Raw genomic sequence first — 25,207 nt, forward strand, 5'->3', positions numbered from 1 at the left:
GTGAAAACAAAGCCCTATCAGGAGTGAAATATAATCCAATCATTTAATTCTCAGAATTGGTATTAGTTCTAATCTAACAAAGCAACTTAGAATCAACTTAGAATCAATCTCTGGATATGTCAGTGAATGTGTCTTTAGATGACTCCAGCTGCCAGGCTTTAAGTCTTCCAGCTGAGGTTTTTCCTAAACATTCTGGGAGAGAAACAAGCTATTCTTGTGTCCTCTTGGAATTTCTGATCCACAGATTTCTTAAGCATAATTATTGTTTCACACCAGTCCCATTTTAGGGCAATTTTTTGGTAAACCATAATAACTGGAATAGCACCCTAGGTCAAGACACTGCTATCTTATGCCTGAACTACTGAGAGAAAATGTTCTTTCAACTTACTCCACTAGCATTCAATCCTCTGAAAGTCTATTGCTTCTGCATTCAAAAGATACTATGAATCTGATGAATTCTCATTGTTTCATGTTTATGAAAACTATTTCCTGAACTTCAGTTCTGTCTCTTATAGTTTACCAGATGGCAGACAGAATCACATATATTTAACATATATATTACATCATGTCTTGTCACTGCTCAAAACTCTGTTTCCCAGTCATACTGAAATTGAAATTTAAAATCTTTAATGTGGCTATAAATTTCCTAGGAAGCTTTCTGATCTAATATTCTACTACATCTTCCATGTCCACTTCAGCTCCAGTGATAGTGTTACAGGAATATACAATCTTCATTTTCACGTGAATACTTTTATGTTATCTGGTTTCTTTGCCTGAAATATTCCCCCAAATATTGTCCTGGTCAAGTCCTCATATGATTCATATTTTTTTAAAGCACCACTTCTTCAGAGATGCCTTTCTTGTTCTGCCTAACTAACATAGTTAATTAGGCAGGTCAGAATCAATATGCTCTGATTCCTTACTTTGCCTTTCATGTATCCCTTAACTCTAGAAGTTAGACTATATAATTATTAATTTATTAGTTTGTAGCCTGTCTTCTATACTAACATATTAGCTCTGTGATGGCAAAGATTTTAGTTAGTTCACACTGTATTCTCAAAGCTTAGAACATGACTGAACACATATGGGGTACTCTGAAGTATTCTAGAATAAATGATTAGATGACTGACTGAATAAATAAATGATAAACATGCCTAGTGAGAGGTGAACACACGCTTTTCATCTCTAGTCTATTAGAAGTAACTCACAAGCTGGAGGGAAATCCTAGTTCTATCTTATAACAGGGGTATGCTTTTGGATATGCTTCTGTATTAGTCCGTTTTCATGCTGCTGATAAAGACATATCTGAGACTGGGAAGAGAAGGAGGTTTTATTGGATTTACAGTTCCACATGGCTGGGGAGGCCTCAGAATCATGGTGGGAAGTGAAAGGCACTTCTTACATGGTGGTGGCAAGAGAAAATAAGGAAGATGCACAAGCAGAAACCCCTGATAAACCCATCAGATCTCATGAGACTTATTCACTACCACAAGAACAGCATGGGGGGAACCGCCTCCACGATTCAAATTATCCCCACCAAGTCCCTCCCACAATAGGTGGGAATGATGGGAGTACAATTCAAGATCAGATTTGGATGAGGACACAGAGCCAAACCATATCATTCCACCCCTGGCCCCTCCAAATATCATGTCTTTACATTTCAAAACCAATCATGCCTTCCCAACAGTCCCCCAAAGTGTTAACTCATTTCAACATTAACCCAAAAGTCCACAGTCGAAAGTCTCATCTGAGATAAGGCAATTCCCTTCCACTTATGAGCCTGTAAAATCAAAAGCAAGTAAGTTACTTCCTAGGTTCAATGGGGGTACAGGTACTGGGTAAATACAGCCATTCCAAACAGGATAAATTGGCTAAAACAAATGGGTTACAGGGCCTATGCAAGTCCAAAGTCCAGCAGGACAGTCAAATTTTAAAGCTCCCAAATGATCTCTTTGACTCCAGGTCTCACATCCAGGTCATGCTGATATAAGAGGTGGGTTCACAGTCTTGGGCAGCTCTGCCCTTGTGGCTTTGCAAGGTACAGCCTCCCTCCCAGTTGCTTTCATGGGCTGGTGTTGAATGTCTGTGGCTGTAAGCTGTGGTAGGTGGATCTACCATTCTGGGGTCTGGAGGATGACGGCCCTCTTTCCACAGCTCTACTAGGTTGTGCCCCAGTAGGGACTCTGTGTGGGGGCTCCAACCCCACATTTCCCTTCTTCATTGCCCTAGCAGAGGTTCTCGATGAGAGCCCCACCTCTGCAGCAAACTTCTGCCTGGGCATCCAGGCATTTCCATACATCTTCTGAAATCTAGGCAGAGGTTCCCAAACCCCAATTCTTGACTTTTCTGCACCCGCATGCTCAACACAACCTGGAAGCTGCCAAGACTTGAGGCTTGCACCCTCTGAAACCATGGCCCAAGCTCTGTGTTGGCCTCTTTCAGCCATGGCTGAAGCAGAAGGGATGCAGGGCAACAAGTCCCTAGACTGCACACAGCATGGCTACCCTGGGACCTGCCCACAAAACCATTTTTTCCTATTAGACCTCTGGGCCTGTGATGGGAGAGGCTGCTGCAAAGATCTCTGACATGTCCTGGAGATACCTTCCCCATTGTCTTGGAGATTAACATTCAGCTCCTTGTCACTTATGCAAATACCTGCAGCCAGCTTGAATTTCTCCTCTGAAAATGGGATTTTATTTTCTATCCCATTGTCATGGTGCAAAGTTTGTGAACTTTTATGCTCTGCTTCCCTTTTAAAACTGAATTCCTTTAACAACACCAAAATCACCTCTTGAATGCTTTATCACTTAGAAATTTCTTCCAAATCACCTCTTGAATGCTTTACCACTTAGAAATTTCTTCCAAATCACCTCTTGAATGCTTTACCACTTAGAAATTTCTTCCACCAGATACCCTAAATCATCTCTCTCAAGTTCAAAGTTCCACAAATCTCTAGGGCAGGGGCAAAATGCCGCCAGTCTCTTTGATAAAACATAACAAGAGTTACCTTTGCTTCAGTTCCCAACAAGTTCCTCATCTCCATCTGAGACCACCTCAGCCTTGATTTCACTGTCCATATCATTATCAGTATTTTTGTCAAAGCCATTCAAGTGTCTAGGAAGTTCCAAACTTTCCCACATTTTCCTATGTTCTTCTGAGCCCTCCAAAGTTGCTTCCACATTTGGGTATCTTTTCAGCAGCACCCTACTCTACTGGTACCAATTTACTGTATTAGTCCATTTTCACACTATTAATAAAAACATACCTGATACTGGGAAGAAAAAGAGGTTTAATTGGACTTACACTTCCACATGGCTGGGGAGGCTTCACAATCATAATGGGAGGTGAAAGCCCATTACATGGTGGTGACAATAGAAAATGAGGAAGATGCAGAAGTGGAAACCCCTGATAAACCCATCAGATCTCGTGAGACTTATTCACTACCATGAGAACAGTATGGGGGAAACCGCCCCATGATTCAAATTATCTCCCACTGGGTCCTTTCCACAACATGTGGGAATTATGGGAGTACAATTCAAGATGAGATTTGGGTGGGGACACAGAGCCAAACCATATCAGCTTCTAATCCTTTTCTGTCCATCTTTCTCATCTGTAAAATGGACAAATAGGATATGCCACATATGTTATATTAGCAAGAAATAAAGTATTTAGCATAGTGCTGGCAATATAGTGGGTTTTAAGCATATGTGAGTTTCTTTTCTCAAATTCAGATTCATAGCTCATATACCCAGGAAACCCCGACAGCATTTCACATGTCCTACCTCTACAACTACCCTAAATGAAGACCTGGAGTAGTGAGGGATGACCAAGAAGAAACTTACAGGCTTTGACAAAGAACCTGAGTTTTATCCTGAGGCCAATATAAAGTTGAAAGAGTTTAAACTTTAAATGCTGAGGGATTTTAACACATTCCTCTAACCAATAGGCAGTATGACACAATTAATACAATGGTACCTGGTTTTAATTTCCTATCAATTGTCTGCACTTTAAATCTTTCTTACAGAGTCAATTGAGAGTTAGTTAAATATAAATATACTATACATCAGAAAGGTAAACCAATAGAGATATTTATGTAGTAATATTTAAATGTGCCAAAGGCAGTGATATCCTTAAAACAAGATCACTTTTAGCTGCCCTGCTTTGCACAGATATTGCAGAATCTTCAAAATAGAAAAAGGTATTATGTATGAATAGGAGTCATTTGAATTGGAAAATAGAAACTTAAATCATCTTGTCCATCACACTGTCAAGGTAGATTTCCTTTAACATGCTCTATGACTTAAGATATAAAAGTGTAAAAGAAAAAGAAAAGCTTAAAATTTCTGAATATTATCACTTTACTTTTTTAGGGAATAAGCCTTAATATGTATCTAATTTGACATTGTTAATATTTTCATACTTATATAGGCTTGACTTTGATTAAATCAAGCAAACTATCAGTTTGTCTTTAGTGAATGAAGTCTTCTTTTATATATGTGTAGCATATACCTTTTGTTTAATTTTCTGTACTTTATTTAATAGTAATATATCTGGTACAATAATCTTAACAAAATTGAAGTTTTCAGTACCGAATCTAGAAATGTTGGATGCCTGGTGAGATGTGAATAATTTATATGTAAAAACAAAAACTCCAACCTTTATTTTCCTTTTAAGATAACTGAAATAACAGGTTAGTTCTAAAGCTCAATTGTTCATTAGAAGTTAAAACTATGTACATGAAAAGTAACCTTAAAAAGCCAGATGTTTTTCACTCTGGTTTGCCTTAATTAAGTCACTGCCTTTAGCTACTCTCCAATAACAGCCAAAAAAGACAGTATGTAATTGTTTTCCAGCATCAGTCACAAAATAATTCACATATGATTCAGAAAACAGCCATTATGTTTATGTTCTATGATTCTGTATTTTCACACATATAAAGTTTTTATAAAATATTAAAATGATGCTATTTTTAATGCTTGGGATTTTATCTACAATTTTATAAAAATTTAATATAAAAATGAGTACAAAATATACATATGGTATACTGAAAAGGATTGAATACCACATATTCTTGCTAACCAATGCAGTGAATGAAATCAATTCATATCTCAGTAGACTCATGATAATATCTAGCAAGTGGCTATCTAACACACAAATTGCCTTGAAAAGTTCTACCCTTTGCAAATGTCAACAATAGAGCAACATGGAAGAACGGGTTCTTCTCAGATGTAATGAGGCGGTATGGCCACCAGCAGTGAGTATAATTCTTCAAAATCCCACCCTCTGTTAGAGTTCATGTTGTGACACCATTTTATTTAAAAGAAGCAATATATCTTCACTGTCCTCCAGATCTTGACAAAATACATCTCATGGTTAACAATAGACCGGAAAGATTATCATATTATCACGGCTTTGCTCGTAGAGAACTTTTGGAGTCTCCATGGCTGATATGAAGTAACCCTATGGAGACAACAACAAAGCCTGAGAAGCTCAGCCTTGAGCCCCAAACACTTAGCAGGAATTCTGATACAAATTTTTGAGTGATTGTATGAATGAGTGAACTAATGTGTTCCTAAGTGAGAGAGATGAATTACAAAACACTACAAGTAAATGAAACCCCTGTGAAGAACATTACTGTCACTGATATATGAAACTCATTTGCAAAAGGGGTTTGGGAACACAGTAAATCACACTTCGAAAAGCCAGTTCTTTCATGCATTTCATGGATTGACAACTGTAAAAAGAAGTAGATGGTGTTGGGTCTTTGTATTTGACCACTGCTCTTTTCACTCTGCACAGTTTCCTTGGGTGTCTTTTTACTCATTTTAATGTTTTTTTCCTGCTACCTTTATATTTAATATTCTCAAACTTCTATTTTTAATGCATATCATATACTGGGTGACAGACTCTTTAATATAAATCAGCCTGCTGGACATATATACCTGGATGCTTATTCCCACAAAAGTTCAAATTCTGCATTTCCAAAGTGGAATGTACCACTCATATATATGAATCAAGTTCCTCTTTGCCTCACCGTTTTCTAGAGACTCAGACCACTCCTTCCAGTCTTCGCTGCTGCTGAGCAAATTCTTTTTCTTTCTTTGCTTTGAGCAACTGTTACAAGAGGAAGTCATTTATACGGCCTTCAACAAGAGAGTTCAGTGAGACTGAATCATTGGTCCAACTTATTACCAGACAGCATCTGGCCTGATAACACATCCTCATATAGCTCTCTGTCCTCTCTACTTTATTTTCCTTTTCTCTCTTGTGCTCCACATGATTGCATTTTTAAATAAAGTAAGTAGTAGCACAGGAAGAATCCAGGCTGAAACATCATAAAAATTTGCTCCTCTTTTGGTGGTATCTGCTGATGTTATCCACTTTTACCCTGAAACTGAAGTAAAAATTCTAGGAGTCATTCATGCCTCCTTTTCTTCCTCAATCTGCTAGAAACATAGTCGCTAAATCTAGCCATATTTCCTTCTAAAGAGCAGATGCATCATTCCTCTCTATTTTTGCCAACACTGACTTGCTTCAGGCACTCATTTTTTTCTTATTCAAAAAACCTCCTATCTGGTTTTCCTAATTCCAGTCTCATTTCTTCATTTTTGGCTCCACATCTACAATAAAGTGATTCGGGTGCTTCATCTAAAATGCATATCTTAACCCTGATTCTCAGCAGCTCCAAGCTCTTTAACCCATCACGCCTTCATTATCTGTTCTGAGCTTATGTTTTCAGGCTTATCAATCATGACTTCCCACCTTAATTTGTGTGTTTCCACAACACCAAACATGGCAATATTAAAAAATCTCTGGCTCCTTATCTAGAGTGCTTTCCTCTTTCCTCTTCTGGTAAACTCCCACTTTAGAACAAAGTTCAGGCATTCCTTCTTTTATAAAGCATGCCCACACATTACCAGGCTGAGAAAGGTGACTGTCTTTTGGGCAACATAAAATCTCTTATATATCCACTAGAAGAGTGACCCTTGCTTTTGCTTCGTTTTGTTGTATCCCATATCCCAGCATACTCAATGGATACGATATTCATTCACCAATTTCCCTCTATGGCAGGAGTTCTCATCCTATGAGAAGGCTCTACCTCTCCCAAATACTTGAACGGTATTTCAGATTCTAACGGAGGAAGACCAGGTATAGTGGTACAGTTTCTGATTCTGTTATGCCTGCTTTGTGCTGGGTTTGGGTATTTTTCCTCTCGTAAACCCACTCCCTGAAAATAACTACACAAATATATGCTTTACGAGGAGCAGAGTGGAACTGTTTTGTCTTTATATCTCAGTACCTAGACGATAATCTGACCATCAGTAGTAGTAAAAGGTCAATATATATTTACTGTGAATAAATGAATGAATGAATGAATGAATACTCCAGGAATAAACCTCAGGCAAACTGAGGTCATTTCTTGCTGGGGCTGAATAGTATGGTACTCTTAGAAATTTGAATTTTGATTTATATAGTGCCTTAGCGCACAGAATTCTTTGAGGTGTAACAAGTACATATACCTGGTAAGTAGGCAGTCAAATTGGCAATGTCTGTAGAAAAGGTGAGAAGGCTGGATAATAATAATCAACAATTATCTGATAGACTTAAAGGCACTATCTACTGTACCAAGCAGTGTCTGTTGTATAGCTGAATGCCTTTGGGAATTAAAGGCCAAGGAGGTTTTCTCTCTGACAGGATGAGCTCAGCATAGATGACTTTGCACTACGCAGCCATATAGCACTAAATGACTTCTGCTCTGTTTATTGGTATCTATCCATCAATCACAGGCATTGTTATGGCAACCAAGGAAGTATTTTTATCATTTGTAACTCCCTCTTTTATTATAATTATCTGTGTATGTGTTCTCCCCCCAATATACTGTGAGTTCCTTAATGACAGGGACTTTATTTATCTTCACAGCATAGCAGGAGTTAAAATATTATAAAGTAGAAGAAAAAACAGGTCAGAATGGAACAGTAGTGAGATGGAAGCTGGAGGAATATGATGGAACCAGATCAGTAAGTGTGTTCAAGGCTAAACAGAAATATCCTGACACCTTAGGTAGGTTAAAATTTTAGCAGCCTACATTAGTTTGTATAATCTTCACTGATGTAACAAATATATCACCAAATTTTAGTAGCCTAACTTAATTATTCATTTTAGCTCGCTTAGCAGTCTAATGCTGGTGGTTATATTCAATGGGACTGAGAGAATAGAGGATCTTAGGAAACCTCCATCCTTTGATGCCATTCTTGGTGGGGGGCTTAGAGTCCTCTTCTTCCAGAACGAAGGTGAGGGGAGAAAGAATAGATGACAAAGTCCAAAGAATCATGTATCATATGTTCGAGTCGTAAGTGGCAATAATTTATTTCTCTTCATACTTCATTGGTGAGAACTAGGTCTATGTTCTACGTTCTTACACAAGATATTGACAAACTTTTTCCATAAAGAGCCAAATGGTAAATATTTTAGGCTTTGTGGGTCATGCATTTCTGTTACAACTACTCAACTGTGGTTGTAACCTGAAAGCAACCACAGATAATATGTAAATGACTCGATATGGCTATGTTCCAGTAGATGCAAGAGGGATAGAGGAGACTGAGCAAAGTATCAATGGCTGGCAACTACTTCTAGGGGAAGTAGTTTATATTACGGAGCGGGTATATAAGCTCTTCTGTTGCAAAGCTAGTAGAAAACTTAACTTTTATTCTGAAGGCCATAATAAGCATTTGAAAGACTGCCATCTGTAAATACCAAAAGCAGATATTGAAAATATAGATGCCTGAGGGGACTAGAGGATATGACTCTTATCAGTGTCACCACAGTTTTAAATATATGCAATAGTTTTAACAGAGCTGTCATTAATCATGAACATTATCATGAATGCTATTATTCCAAAATGAACAATCTTTTTATTGTTTATAGTAATAAAATATGTAACCTCAAATAGTAACATCTGAAAATGATTCATTTCAAATTATATCATATAGGATTATATTTGTATAAGTAAAACAACTATATTCATTTTATTGCAAAACTGAAAATAGTTTCATTTTCCTGAATGTTTCATTTCCCAAGTATTAAAATAGATTTTAAAACATAAATATTGATAGCTTTCAATTGTCAAGTAAAGCAGACAATGCACAAAAATTTGAAAAAGACAGGAATAGAACATTGGAAACTTTTACAGTGCAGGGAAGTGAAACTATATTTCAGTTAAAAACTTATGCAAAATTAAAAAGTCAAATTGGAATAGAAATAAATCCAACATATAACAAAAGTCTATGAATTTTGTATTTGTACTCTGCTCTTAAGTGTCTTTGTCTCTATTTTCTTTTATTTTAGTGTATTATTCTCATTTATTTTTTACTGGAATAAAAATAAAGTAGATACTTTAAAAAATGAAGGTAGGACATTTGGATTTCTTACGAAAAGTGTTATTCTTCTTAGAAGATTATTCTTGTAAATTTATTGGGAATATTGTCAAATATATATGAAGATGGCTGATTATAACAGTTAACAAAATTGAAATAATTCTTGTGTCCAGACATTGTGCTAAGTGCATGGCTTATACACAATATCATTTATTCCTTATATCAGTCGTATTATTACCAATATTATTGTCTCCACTTTATTGGTAAGGAAACTGAAGTACAGAGAGGTTAAGTAATTTTCCTAAGATTATGTCAGTAGTAAGCAACACAGCTGAACTTTGAAACTTGGTGTGTCTGACTTTTAAATCCTCTCCACAGAAATACAACAGCTTAACTCAAACCCACTTCCACAAAACCAGCAGTTAAGCTCTCTAGTTCCCATCTGTGTAACACGGCAGAGGCACTCTTTCTGGAGTTGCAGCATATTAACCATGTGTTGTAATTAAATCTCTGTAACAAGGAGAAACACCTTAAATTACTTTTGGGAATAGCCTTTAGATTGTGAAATACATTTGATAGCAAAAATATTAGTCCTGGGGCATGGTCCAAAAGTTTAAAAAATAATATTATGAAAGTTAATTGTTCTTCATATGATAAAAGAAAATAAATTGAGTTGCTAGAGAGCTAGGGGTTAAGGGTTTCCGGAATAATGAGTTGAGAACAGATTATAGGGAGGGCACAGAAGTTAGAATAAGGTTGGGACTGAATCCAAGAGCAGATCTTTAAGATTTGAGGTAAGAGTAGTCAAGGTATTTCTAAGATCGAGGATAGCTAATATATATTTATATTTACATCTTTGTTTTTTTGTGCTGTTTTCTGAAATATCTGACCTCTTCTTTGTGACCCCTCCCCAACCAAATTTTGTGTTAGTTGCTTTTTGGAAAAATTCAGGAAAAGGGACTACGTTGACTTTTAGGTTGAGGAGAAACAAATGACAAACAACAAGTACAATAACAATAACTAGAAATGATAACATATATGCTATGTATTTGGCCCCATTCTGAGGATTTAAAAAATATACATCAAATCATGCAATACTCTGTGGTCAGTATTATTGTTATCATCACCATTTATAGATGAGGAAACTATGAAGTCACATAGGAAATAAGTAATACAACCACTATTCAATGTATGGTTCCAGTGTCGTTGTTCTTCTTTACAGTTCTATATGATCGTTTCTAAGCTTTAGAATCAGACTGTTAATGATATCAATATGTCACTTTACTTTAAAAATGTAAGCAGAGACTATAACAAAAACTATGCATTTAATCTTAAATTCCCTTGTGAAATGGGAAGGACAGAATTTGCACATGGAATAAAGGCTCGATTCATTTTGGGAAATTATGATTTCACAAAACTGGTCACTTTATTGCTATTATTTAAAGAGTAGCCAAATACATGTATGTGTACAAACATTTAAAATGAATGTTTGCTTAAAAGTAGGGTTTCTAGATAGTTACCACAAATGTATAAAAACATGTTATATGCTTTATAACTTACTCCCTTTTGAAAAGCAAATCATGTCCAATTTAGTGACATTAATGATATTTTGAGATGATATGTGGGGGTGGATAAAAGTGGAAAATGATCTCTGGTGCTTTCTATCTTTGGTTTCTGTATCATTTCCTTCTATTAAAATACTTCTGCCTATTATCACAACACATTCCTTCAGGAATAGTAATTATTTAAAAGAGGATGGCAGGGTAACATAACATTTAGTCCTGAGTCATTATCCTTATATGGAAAAATTTGAGAATGTGTAATAAAGGGTAAGATGGTGTTTGGATATAAGGTAGCTTTAAAGGTGTATGTAAATGCTATGTTTCTTGTAGTTAATTTTTTTTAACAAAGTATTTTTTAAAATTATCCATATTGATGCATAGAGATGTATTTTATTCTTTTCTCTGACTTATAAGTATTACTATTCCATTTTATTTATTACATTTTTAAACGTCCATTTCTCTGCTTTGCAATGTTCCTACTATTTCTAATAAGGCTATTCAGAGAGTCATTAGATTACATGTGAGTGCTTCTGTAGGGAAGAAACTAGAGGTAGAATAACTGATTTAGCTGTTCTTAATATCGTACCTGTCTACTCTGCCTGAATGAGAAATCAATCTTTCATATTTTAGGCATAAGACATAAGCAAATATGTGATAATAAAATTTTTGTGCCTGAGGTATACGCTACCTAATTATTAAGAACACAGGTGAAACAAATGTAGGTGACTATAAAATAGAGATAGAAAATGCTATAAGAGTTAATCCAAAGTTTGTCATATACACAGATATAATTAGTATCAACTTTACTGTTGGAAAAAACCTTGGTAAAATGATTCAAGCAAACATAAAACCAAATAACAATCCCCATCACCAAATAAAAACCAAAATACCAAACTGGTGAATCAGTTTCTCTGTCAATGCTATGTTAAGAACTATTGCTAGATTTTCTTATATCAGCATAAAGCTGACTGCAAAGAAGAGGTGAGGAAATAGATCATGCTATTCTAAAAATTTAAATATTTTGATAAATTTAAAAAATGTGTCACTGAGCATCAGGCAAGAGATTTATAATTTGTGGTGATAGTCACCTTACTTCCTTCATGTGAGTAGGACTTTTAGCTTCTCAATAACAGAACCTCAGTGATATAATTAATATAAAATAGTAAGGTAAGACTACATTCCCTGTAATAAAATCCTGCATCACATGTCGTCTTCCAAGGACCATCTGTCCAGATGAGCCTTGCTGTAATAATCAAGTAAACGGAGCCACCAGACAAATTAGTGGAGAGCTTCAATTCTCATAGTGTCATCTGGGGGTTATTTAAATGTTATTTGACTTTTTCACTGTGGTTATACTTGCACTGATAGTCAAAGATAATAGTGGATAAAACTACTGATGGCTTAGTATGATACAAATAGTGGCACCACCTGTACTAGATAAGAGTATTATCACTTTAATTTAAAAAATTAAGATTATACTTGAAACAGTGGTAACACTAACTTTATTCAAATATAAGTTATGAATTACATGCCTTTTTAATAAAGTGTATGATGAAAAGGGGGGTATGCATAATGTATTTCTGCTGTATGCTGGAGTAAGATGATTGCCTCAAGGAGAAGCATGAGTCATTTTTGATGTGTAAGACCAACTAGCTGCTAATTTTTGTGGAACACAGTTTTACATGAAAGAATAACTAATATTCAGCTATGGTTATGCATTCTTGGGTTATTGGGTAGACATTTTCTCAAAAAGAAAATGGGTCTGGCCGGGCACGGTGGCTCACGCCTGTAACCCCAGCACTTTAGGAGGCCGAAGCGGGGGGATCACGAGGTCAGGAGATCAAGACCATCCTGGCTAACATGGTGAAACCCCGTCTCTACTAAAAATATTTAAAAAATTAGCCGTTTTTTTAGTTAATGGGTGCAGCACACCAACATGCACATGTATACATATGTAACAAACCTGCACATTGTGCACATGTACCCTAAAACGAAGAAGAAGGAAGAAAGGAAGAAAGGAAGAAAGGAAGAAGAAGAAGAAGGAAGAAGAAGAAGAAGAAGGAAGAAGAAGAGGAAGGAGAGGAAAGAAGAAGAAGAAGAAGAAGAGGAAGAAGAGGAAGAAGAAGAAGAAGAAGAAGAAGAAGAAGAAGAAGAAGAAGAAGAAGAAGAAAGAAGAAAGAAGAAAGAAGAAAGAAGAAAGAAGAAGAAAGAAGAAGAAAGAAGAAGAAAGAAGAAGAAAAGAAGAAGAAAATTAGCCGGGTGCAGTGGCGGGCGTCTGTAGTCCCAGCTACTCAGGAGGCTGAGGCAGGAGAATGGCGTGAACCGAGAAGGCGGAGCTTGCAGTGAGCTGAGATCGCGCCGCTGCACTCCAGCCTGGCTGACTGAGCCAGACTCCGTCTCCAAAAAAAAAAAAAGAAAATGGGTCTGCCACTCCAAAGAAAACAGCTAACAGCATTTGTTGCCAATGTTACAATTCGAACTTTCAAGCATATTTCAGAATTTTGGGTAAGTCATCCACCATGGTCAGAATGACAGCTATACAATACTTAAAAACTTTTCTGATGAGACTGGAGGGGATATTAACAAATATTATTTTTAAATATTTTATAAAGATATATGTTGACATTTGGTAGAGCTGAATAACTCAAGAGACCAATATTTTGGCAGCAAAAAATTGTGCATGAGTAAAAGATCCATTCAAAATGCAGATAGAGCAATGAATGTTAATTTAATTGAGTATAAAATGCCCATTGATTGGGTTTTACATTCCACTTTTTAACTCACCTTTAACAATTTATTAGTTATCAAGTTTTGGCATAATATCAAAGAGGGGTACTCTAAATTATTTGAAAAGTCTATTAAAACTCTTCTATCTTTTCAAAATATGTATGTGTTGGGAGGCCAGAATTTCTCCAACTACTTCAGCAAAATAATTACAGGACAGATTGAATGCAGAAGCACATATGAGAATCCAGCTGTATTTATTAAAGCAGGTATTAAATATGTTTGCTGATACATATAACAGCGCCATTCTTATCATTACTTTTATTTGTTTTGGAAAAGTAAAACTGTTTTTCATAAAACATGCTATGCTATATTATTCATGTTAACTTATGAGTTTATCATTTTATAAGAATTAATAAAGGAAATAAGGCAGAGTAGAGAGCACTAGTAAACCTATCTCCCCACCTAGACAACAATTGTACTGGCAGAATATATATATATATATATATATATATATATATATATATATATACATATATATATATATTTTTTTTTTTTTTTTTTTTTTTTTTGAGACGGAATCTCACTCTGTTGTCCAGGCTGGAGTGCAATGGTGTGATCTTGGCTCACTGCACCCTCTGCCTCTTGGGTTCAAGCAATTCTCCTGCCTCAGCCTCCCGAGTAGCTGGGACTACAGGTGTGTGCAACCAAGCCAGGCTAACTTTTGTATTTTTAGTAGAGACGGGGTTTCACCACATTGGCCAGACTGGTATTGAACTCCTGACCTCGTGATCCAACTGCCTGGGCCTCCCAAAGTGCTGGGATTACAGGCATGAGCCACCACGTCTGGCCTAGAATATTTTTGATGTAACTATTTTGAAATAGTGAAGTCTATTGAAGGTTTACAACCTTCCAGGTGAAGGCTTCTAAATTAAATTGTGATTAATTTTGGTCAGTTTCAGCTCTTAAAACAGTAGCATGCACACACGTCCCACTTCTTAGTCATGTGGCAGGCAGTTGTGTGCATGTTTCTGGTGTAGTCTGCACACAGCTTGTGACGGCCATGGTGGACAGAAAGGATCCTCTTCTTCACATATTAGACATCTGTGCTTTGATCACTGATTACTGCTTCTGATAATAGAGCTGATGATCAGTGAACTAGATGGTGGTCATTGTCACACTTCCCCCCCATTGTTGTTACTCCCCACCACCTTGAACTATTTTTCTCCTCATTGTTTGTCTCTTTTCACACTTTTGGAAGCTAGCCATTAAAGATTGGAACATTCAAAAATAACTGCATATATGAGGAAAATTTAAAAATGGCCATCCATGCCCAGGAAAGGGTTTATAAAAGAAGACTTGAGAAGTCTTTAAGAAACTCCATGTAAAACAACAACCTCAGAGCTACATGGATACATATTAAAACCAGACTTTTGAAAACTAAAGACGAAGTGAAAATCTTAAAAGCAGCAAAAGAAAATGACTTTTCACATACAAGGATCCCAATAAAATTATAGATTTCTCATCAGTAATTTTACAGGCTAGAAGACAAAAGTTTAAAATATTCAAAACACTGAAAGAAAACAACTCTGTAAACCAATAATTCTATATTTGACAAAACAGTCCTTTCAGAAGTTAGATAGAGCTGGGTGTGATGGCTCACACCTGTAATTCCAGCACTCTGAGAGGCCGAGGCAGGTGTATCACCTGAGGTCAGGTGCTTGAGACTAGCCTGGCCAACATTGTGAAACACCATCTCTACTAAAAATACAAAAATTAGCCAAGTGTGGTTGTGTGTGCCTGTAATCCCAGCTACTCAGGAGGCTGAGGCAGTGGAATCACTTGAACCCAGGAGGCAGAGGTTGCAGTGAGCCAAGATAGTGCCACTGCACTCCAGCCTTGGCAACAGAGCAAGATTCTGTCTCAAAAAAAAAAAAAAAAAAAAAATTAGGTAGAAATTAAGACATTCCCAGATAAACAAAAGCTAAGAAAGATTGTTAACACTGGACCTTCCTTGCTAGAAATGCTCAAGGGGAATCCTGCAGTGTGAAATGAAAGACCATAGACAGTAACTGTATGTTGAATGAAGAAATAAGAGTAAATTAATAGGCAATTATTAAAGTTAAATGGCTTATAATGCACTTTTTGTTTTATAATAATTTCTAATAATTGTTTTCTAAATAATTAAACAGATTAATACATTAAAATTGTTCTAATAGTGTTATAACTTTGGTTTATAACTTTATATTTTGTTTTCTAAATAATTTAAAAGACTAATGCATTTCAAAAATTACTAGTTGGGGGGGGCACACAATGTATAAAGATGTTATGTATAAAGATGTAATTTTGTGCCATCAACAATCAAAAGGAGTGGGAACAGAGCTGTTAAAGGAGTAGAGTTTTTCTTGTTATAAACTCAACTTAGAGTGTTAATGACTTTAGGCTGTTAATCGCATGGTAACTACAAAGAAAATAGCTATATACAAAATAAAATTAGAAAAAATTTTAAATACTTCACTATAAAAGATAAACTAAACACAAAAAGATGGTAATGTAAAAAATGAGAGACAAAAACTATCAAGAATAAGGAACACATCACAAAATAGCAGAAGTAAATAGCTTCTTAGCAATTATTTTAATTATAAATGATTGTACTCTTGAATCAAAAAACAGAAACCTGCAGAATGGATAAAAACACTTTTTTCAACTATATCCTCTCTAACAAAGATTTACTTTAGATCTAAAACCACAAATATTAAATAGATTAAAACTGAAAGGATGGAAAAAAATAAATATTATATGCAAATAGTAACCAAAAGAGATTAGGGGTTGCTAGCTTAATATCAGACAAAATAGACTTTAAATTAAAAAATGTTAAAACCAAAGAAGGACATTATATGTTAATAAAAGACTCAATACAGCAAGAAGATATAACAACATATATAAATGTAGGAGTTCAGTCAGGGTGGTGGGAAAAATTGTAAAATAGACACAAACCTTCTTGGAAGGCCGGAAGGTTTTGCAAAAGCCTAAGGATAGGGTTATGGGTGAAGGCAGCCTAATCCTCTTACCCTGAGTTAATAGCTTAAAGTAGGTACAAAGGAATGTAAGGGAGTTTATCTACATAGCTTGTTTACTCATGTGGTCCTAAGACCAACCTTTGATCATTCACAGAACTGATCTCTCTGGGAGAGGGTGACCAGATTAATTACCCAAAGGCGTGTTAACTCAAAGCCTTTGTCATTAAATCTGTACTGAATAAATGCCTGCAGAGCCAGCTAGTCAGAGTGTGCATGCGGCTGCTACAACTCTGTGATTGGCACAGCCCCCTGGCCTACTCTTTCACTGAATATCAGTGTCTGAGTACATTATTCATCCATTGTGCAGCCTAGGTCTGTGGGTCAGACCCCAGCAGGTGGTGCCTCGTGTGAGGAACGCTGCAACGGACTGGTGATTGTGACGGAACCCTTGAAAACGAAGGTGAAAAGGACTGTGCAGTCAGTAAGTCATTGGTGCCTGCTTGGGATTTCCAAGTTCACAGGGATTGTTCAGGCTAGGATTTCATCATGGGACAACAGTTATCAGCTCAACAGAAACAGTACATAAAATTATTGAAACAGCTGCTTAAAGCTGGTGAAGCCTCAGTTTTGCAGGCTCAATTAAGGGACTTAATGCAAACTGTTGTATTCCATAACCAATGGTTTTCAGAAGAAGGTATGCTAAACATAGAGCTCTGGGAACAAGTGTGGAGAAATCTTAACATCATCAGCAGTGGGTCCCAGTATCATCTCTAACACTATGGGCTTTGGTGAGGTTGGCTCTGGTCCCATTATACACAGAAGAGCCTAAAAAGGAGAAGGAGGAAGAACTGTTACCTACCTTACCACCTCCTTGTCCCTCAGACACGCTATCACCAGGCCAAAATAACAAAGAGGAAATGGAGGTTTGCCTGAGTCCCCTCCTCTAATAAATTGGGAAAAAGACAAGGGATACCCTAGTTATGGGACCCTATCTTAGGCAAGTGGCATTAGAAGGGGAGTTCTTAGCCTACCTGGTAATGCAAGATCAACAAGGCAATCAGGTATATAAACCCATTTATTTTAATGCTTATAAAAAAATAAGAAAAGGCATTAGAGGCTGGAGCCACGTGGCCAAGTTTGTGATGGGTGGAAGAAAAAGCTTGGTAGTGGGGAAGCTCATGACACCCCAGGCCGACAGGGGCCGCGGCAGGGGGCAGAAGCAACACAGACAAAAAGCAGCACCTAGGCAAGTGCAACACTGCTGCCGTCTAGCTCCGTGGGCAGCCCATGGCAAAATTTCTTGTGTTTCTTGTATACAAGCGACATCCCAGAGTATAATTCTCTGCTAAGATATAAGTAAAATTGAAGAATTTAAAAGACCTCTTTCTGATAATGGCCACTGTTGTTATTTCTCCCTTACTCCTAAAACGACTCCAAATCCCATTTAAGTAAAACAGTAACTGCTGGAGGGAGAGAAATTAAAAAGAGCCCATGAATTAGTTGAGGAGCAATTAAAAGCCAGCCATATGGAACAATCAAACAGCCCCTGGAATTCGCCCATTTTTGTCATTCCCAAAAAGTCTGGTAAATGAAGGTTTTGCATGACCTACGTGCTATTAATGCTAATTTGCAACCTATAGGGCCCCTTCAACAGGGCCTTCCCTCCACCGCAGTGATTCCTCAAGATTGGCCTACAATCTTTATTGACTGCTTCTATACCATTCCATTAGCAGAACAGGACAGAGAAAGATTTGCATTTACAATACTGGCTATCAATAATGAAAAGCCAGGTTGCTGATTTCATTAAAAAGGGTGTCCTCAAGGGATGCTAAACAGTCCTACCATGTGTCAGTATCATGTAAATCAAGCTTTGCTCTCTAGTAGAAAAGAATTTTCTGATTGCAAGGTTATTCATTTTATGGATGATGTTTTACTAGCAGCCCCAACAGAGCCAGTACTTTCAAAGTTAGATACCTCTGTCATAAAGAATACACAGTTAAGAGATTTAATGATTGCGCCTGAAAAATTACAGATGTCTCCTCCTTGGAAATATCTTGGGTACATACTAACTTCCTGGTCAGTAAGACCTCAAAAGCTTAAATTAAATACTAAAAACTTACGTACCTTAAATGATTATCAGAATTTACTAGGCGATATTAACTGGCTTTGGCCCACCTTGGGCCTACCTACTGATAGGTTGCAAAATCTCTTTTCTATCTTAAAGGGCAATTGAGCCCTGGATTCTCCCAGGTATTTAACTCCTGTGGCAAAAAGGAAAATCAAGGAAACAGAACAGACCATTTCTCACAGGCAACAAGATTGCATAGACCCAGTCTATTCAATTCAATTGTTTATTTTTCCCACTAAACACTACCCTACAGGGTTAATAGGACAGATGGCCCCAGTACTATGCTTTCTAGAATGGGTTTTTTGCTCACATACCGGAACTAAAACACTTTCCCTATAATCAGTAAAGTCATATATTCAGGCTTCAGACAATGCAATCAGTTGCTAGGTTATGATCCTGATATCATCAGGATTCCTTTAAGTAAAAAGCAATTTGAAGCAGTATTGCCATTATCTATAGATCTGCAAATAGCCATCTCTGATTACGCAGGCCATGTAGACCTTGCCCTTCCTGCTGATAAACCCCTTCAGTTCTTATCTGGTACTTCTGTGATGTTACCTACAAAAATAGTTCACTCCCCCATACCTAACGCTTTAACACTGTTTACTGACGGTTCTGGTAAACATGGGAAAGTGGCCATTTGGTGGAGACCACATAATTTCCTCCATTGTTCTGGGTTTACTAGCACTCAAAAAGCTGAGGTTGGGGCCTTAATATTGGCTTTGGAGACTTTTTCCGCTCAGCCCATCAATATTGTTAGCGACTCTGCTTACTCTGTTTATTTACTGCAGAACCTTGAGACAGCGCTAATTAAGTCCACTCTAAAGCACACCCTGTGTGCACTTTTCCTCTGACTTCACCAATTGCTAAATCAACGTACACATCCTATTTTTATTACACACATTCGAGCCCACAGCTCACTGCCCGGTTTATTGGCTTATGGCAATGATCAACCAGACCTTCAGGTTGTGACGTCACTGCTTGACCAAGCCACCCAATCACATCAATTCTTCCACCAAAACTGGAGAAACTTACCTAAACAATTTCAACTTACCCAGAGACTAGCTAAACAAAGTATCCTGCAATGCCCAGATTGCCAGCTCACAGGCACATCCCCTCTTTCAACAGGTGTTAACCCTAGAGGGTTCTAGTCCTCTAATCAGTTATGGCAAACAGATGTTACACACATCCCTAAATTTGGAAACTTAGATATGTACATGGATCAATTGATACCAACACTTATCTAATTAGTGCACATGCTCTTCCTGGAGAGTCCACCTGATATGTCATTAAACATCTCCTTTCAACTTTTGCATTTATGGGGCAGCCCACAAAAATTGAAACTGATAATGGTCCAGCTTATGCCAGCTCACAATTTCAACAATTTTGTCACACGTGGAATATCCAACATTCCATAAGCATCTCAAATAACCCCCAAGGACAGGCCATAGAACGTGCCCACTCCATCCTTAAAAATATGCTCAAAAAAGGGGGAGTATGAGTAAGGACCCTGCAACACTAGTAGCACAAGCCTTATTTACCCTTAATTTTTAAAATTTAGATAAATTTCAATCAGCAATGGAAAAGCACTTTGCTAAAACCTCTCAAGACATAAAACCTGCACTTTTATGGAAAGATGTAAACAATAATGAATGGTGTGGTACAAATGAATTGCTAACATGAAAAAGAGGATATGCTTGTTTTCACACCCCCTCAGGTCCTCTTTGAATTCCAGCACGATGCATCAAACCATACCATGGCATGGCTAGGACCCAACCCAGTACCAGAAATGAAGAAAAGGACCCTACAGGACCCGCATCCCCATGCTGAAAAAGACAACTCAAGAGGCTGAACAAATCCTGCTCCAGACACACACATCATTCACTCCAGGTAATGTGTTACTTGCTATGCTTTATTAACCTTTTTAAAATTCTCTCACTCTGCCTGCATGTGGTACCTGCTACACTTAAGCACCGACTTCCGGCTTCTAACATTGCAACTGCTTGGCCAAGAGAGATTATCATACCCCCAGTGGGGTTCCTTAGTAACAGCACACATGGAACTAAAGTGCCAAGTAACACTACAGGTCACTCCTTGATTGGAAAAGAATGTTGCTAATAATACTCATGTTTGTCTTATGTTATTTACTAATTCTAGGATTCAAAGCTGGAATACGAGCAGTGACCAGCATGCCTGACAGGCCTGTTGCTACACACATCTGTACTCTTCAATCAACAAAGCCTGATGCAAAATAACAGAAAAGGGGGAGATACAAGAGTTCAGTCAGGGTGGTGGGAAAAATTGTAAAATAAACACAAACCTTATTAGAAGGTCAGTAGGTTTTGTAAAAGCCTTAGGATAGCCGGGCGCGGTGGCTCACGCCTGTAATCCCAGCACTTTGGGAGGCCGAGACGGGCGGATCACGAGGTCAGGAGATCGAGACCATCCTGGCTAACACGGTGAAACCCCGTCTCTACTAAAAATACAAAAATTAGCCGGGCATGGTGGCGCGCGCCTGTAGTCCCAGCTACACGGGAGGCTGAGGCAGGAGAATGGCGTGAACCCGGGAGGCGGAGCTTGCAGTGAGTCGAGATCGCGCCACTGCACTCCAGCCTGGGCGACAGAGCGAAACTCCGTCTCAAAAAAAAAAAAAAAAAAAAAGCCTCAGGGTAGGGTTACGGCTGAAGTCAGCCTAATCCTCTTACCTTGAGTTAATAGCTTAAAGTACATACAAAGGAATGTAAGGGAGTTTATCTAAATAGCTTGTTTACCCATGTGGTCCTAAGACCAACTTTTGATCATCGTGGGTGAATGATTGCTCTCTACTCAGGGGTTTGGCAATGTGGCAATGTTAATTACCCTCTAGTGGTGTTTACTGGAGACTTTTGTCATTTAATCTGCACTAAATAAACGTGAACTTCACCAGCTTTTGAGGCCGATGCTGCAGACTCTGACAGCAGAGCCCCTTAGCCACACTGACAGGCAAAATATCTGTGTCCCTGTACATCTTTCATCTGTCACTGGGTCAGCTTCTGTGGGACAGACCTGGCATATAAACACTTAGCTGATTACAGATTATCAAAATATATGAAGCAAAAAAGACAGAATTTAAGGGAGAAATAGACAATTGTACAATAATAGTGGAGAATTAAATAGCCACTCTCAATAATTAATAGAGCAACGATGTAAAAGATAAGTAAGGAAATAGAGGACTTAACACAACAAACCAACTAGATCTAACAGACATACACAGAACATACTACACAACAACAACAGCATACACATTCTTAAAAGCATGTGGAACATTTTCCAGGATAGACTATATGTTAGGCCACAAATTAAATCTCAATAGATGGAAGGACATATGTCATATAAATTATCTTTTCTGATCACAATGGTTTCCAGGATAGACTATATGTTAGGCCACAAATTAAATCTCAATAGATGGAAGGACATATGTCATATAAATTATCTTTTCTGATCACAATGGTTAAAGTTGAAAATCAAAAACAGAAGTAAAACCAGAAAATTTATAAATTTGTGGAAACTGAACAACATTCTGTTTAACAACCAAAGGATCAAGAAATAAATTATAATGGAAAGTAGAAAATAGAGACAAATAAAAATGAAAATACAACACACACCAAAATGTACGAGATGCAGTGAAAGCAGTGGTAAGGGGGAAATTCATAGCCATTAATGCTTGTGTTAAAAAATAAGAAAGATCTCAAATTCAACAAGTTAACTAAAACTTAATAAGCTAAAAAAGAAGAAAGAACAATCTAAACCCAAAGTAGAGATGACATTGATGATAACAAAGTTGGTTGTTTGAAAAACTCAACAAAATTGACAAATCTTTAGTTAGATGGATTAAGGAAAATAAAAAGAAGACTCAATTAACTGAACTTAGTTGATGATATTGTAAATAAAATTGATTTTGTAATTACTTTTTCAGATTGCTCATGCTTAGTGGGTAGAAATGCAGTTTACTTTTGGTTGACTTAACCAAAGCAGTGAATGTCTTCTACAATAGAAACTACTAAACATTGCTGAAAGAAATAGAGACATAAATAAATGGAATCACATCTCATGTTTATGAATTGGAAAAAAGTGATATACAGATTTGGTGCAATCCCCAACAAAATCCCAGTGATTTTTTTTTTTCAGAAATAAAAAAATAATCCACTTAAAATTCCTGTAGAATCTCAATGTACTCTGAACATACAAAACAATCTTGAAAAATAACAAGACTGGTGGTCTCACACTTACTGTTTCAAAACTTAATTACAATGCTACCTTTGTAATTAAAACCTTTTTGTATTGGCATAAAGACCAACATATTGACTAATGGAGTAGAATGAGAAGCCCAGAAATAAACCCTTATGTATATGATTTTTGACAAGGGTGCCACATACATTCAATGGGGGAAGAATGGTCTGGTCTTGTGAACATATGGTGTTGGAGAAACTGGATATCCACATACAACAGAATGACCCAAATAGTTGGACCCTTACCTAACACCATATACAATAATTAACTAAAAATGGATTAAAAAGCTGAAACTTTAAAGCTTTTAGTAGAAAACATAGGGAAAAAGGCTCACAACATAGAATTTGGCAGTTATTTCTTGGATATGGATATGACACCAAATGCACAGGCAATGAAAGAAAAAACAGACATTAGACTTCATGAAAACTAAAAAGAAATTGTGCATCAAAATATATTAACAGAGTATAAAGACAACTCAGAATGGAAGAAAAGACTTGCAAATCATATATCTGATAAGGGATTAATATTCAGAATATATAGAGAACTCCTAAGACTAAACAACAAAGAAACAATCCAATTCGAAAATGGACAAAAAATCAAATAGAAATGTCTCAAGAGAAGATATACAAACATCCAATATATACATGAAAAGATGCTCAATAACAATAATTAGGGAAATGCAAATCAAAACTGTGAGGCTCAAGTCATCCCACAGGGCTTCTAAAGGAAAAGAGGGTCCAAAAATCCAGATGGCTAGAGCTTCTCTGGGCTTGCATGAGGAGCAACCTCACATTGATTAAGATGTGAGCTTTTATGCTGTCCTGTGATCAAATAACCCACCTCACCATGCTATCTTACTTCTGCGTTTCCAATTTACCATAATACTCCCAAAATAACCCCTTTTATAAGGGGTCATTTTAATTGTCTGAGTTCCCTCTTAATAACAGGGAAGAAACAAAATTTTAACCACTTCTTACCAATGCATGAATGACTAATATTGTCTCAAATGTGTTATCTCTTTAGTTCACCCAATTCAAAGCCATGTTTGGAGATTTCTGTATCCAGAAGCAGAGTCTGAAAGAAATACGTCTCCCATAATGGAAACTGAAGAACAAGGACAACTTTTTGAGAGTGATAATTTGGAAAAAGAATGTATTTTAGCACTCCACACAATATAACACAGGCATGCTTGTCAGCATGCTTCATTTTTAAACTAACTCTGATAGAAGATGTTTTCTGATTGTGACTCATTATTTGTTGGATGGTATATTTTATATAGCACAAAAAAGATACCCTTTATAAGTAATGGTCCATCTTAATTGGGATATAACTTAAAAATTCAATAAACTGTAAAAGAGTGAAGTAGAACGTAGGAATGTGAAGCAAAAACAAAGAAACGAAATATAGTGCAGCCTTCATTAGATTATTTCAATTGGAAATGATATCTTTTGGTGTGGTTATTTGAACAAGTTATTAGAAAAATCACTACTGCTATTTTACCTGCAATTGTTAATGTGATAGTTTTTCACTGCCTTGGATGGAATGAAAGATCTCCAGTTATTTATTTCTATAACTTCTATGCAGCCAGTAAAATTCTTGACTGGTACAGGCATCTGAGAGAGAGAGAGAGAGAGAGAAGTAGAGATAATTTAAATGATTTTCTTGAATATATTATTCTTGCTTCAAACTGGTCAGGGTATGCAACTGGATTTGGAGGCTGATTTGATTTATTCTACTTATTTATAGTACAGTAATTCAAATATTTTCATAAATATCAATCCAAAAAGTAATAGGATTTTTCCATATCTTGGCTATTATGAATAATGCTGCAATGAACATGGGCAAAATTATAAAGAAATTATGTTTGTGTACATACAAACACAATGCTATTCAACCTTATAAAAGAAGGAAATCCTGCCATTTGTTACAACCTGGATGAAACTGAAAGATATTATGCTAAGTGAAATAAGTTAGACACAAACATATGTGATTATCTCACTTATAGGTAGACTCTAACAAAATGAACTCAAATACACAGAAATAGACACCAAATCTGTGGTTATAAAGCCAAGCAAGGTCTGAGGCTGTGGGTGGGGAAAAAATGTGCAGATTTAGGTCAAGAGATACAAA

General features: G+C 36.8%; 1 protein-coding gene across 2 annotated transcripts in view; it reads right to left on the reverse strand.

The window, feature by feature from the left end:
* EYS (eyes shut homolog) overlaps positions 1-25,207 on the reverse strand; it is a 1,987,247-nt gene that overhangs the window by 562,413 nt on the left and 1,399,627 nt on the right. For both annotated transcript variants that reach the window (NM_001142800.2, NM_001292009.2), the window contains exon 30: positions 24,578-24,690. In NM_001142800.2, the coding sequence (NP_001136272.1) occupies positions 24,578-24,690 (113 nt within the window). The remainder of the gene's footprint in view (positions 1-24,577; positions 24,691-25,207) is intronic.

Source organism: Homo sapiens, chromosome 6, assembly GCF_000001405.40.
Source record: "Homo sapiens chromosome 6, GRCh38.p14 Primary Assembly".
Classification (NCBI taxonomy): Eukaryota; Metazoa; Chordata; class Mammalia; order Primates; family Hominidae; genus Homo; species Homo sapiens.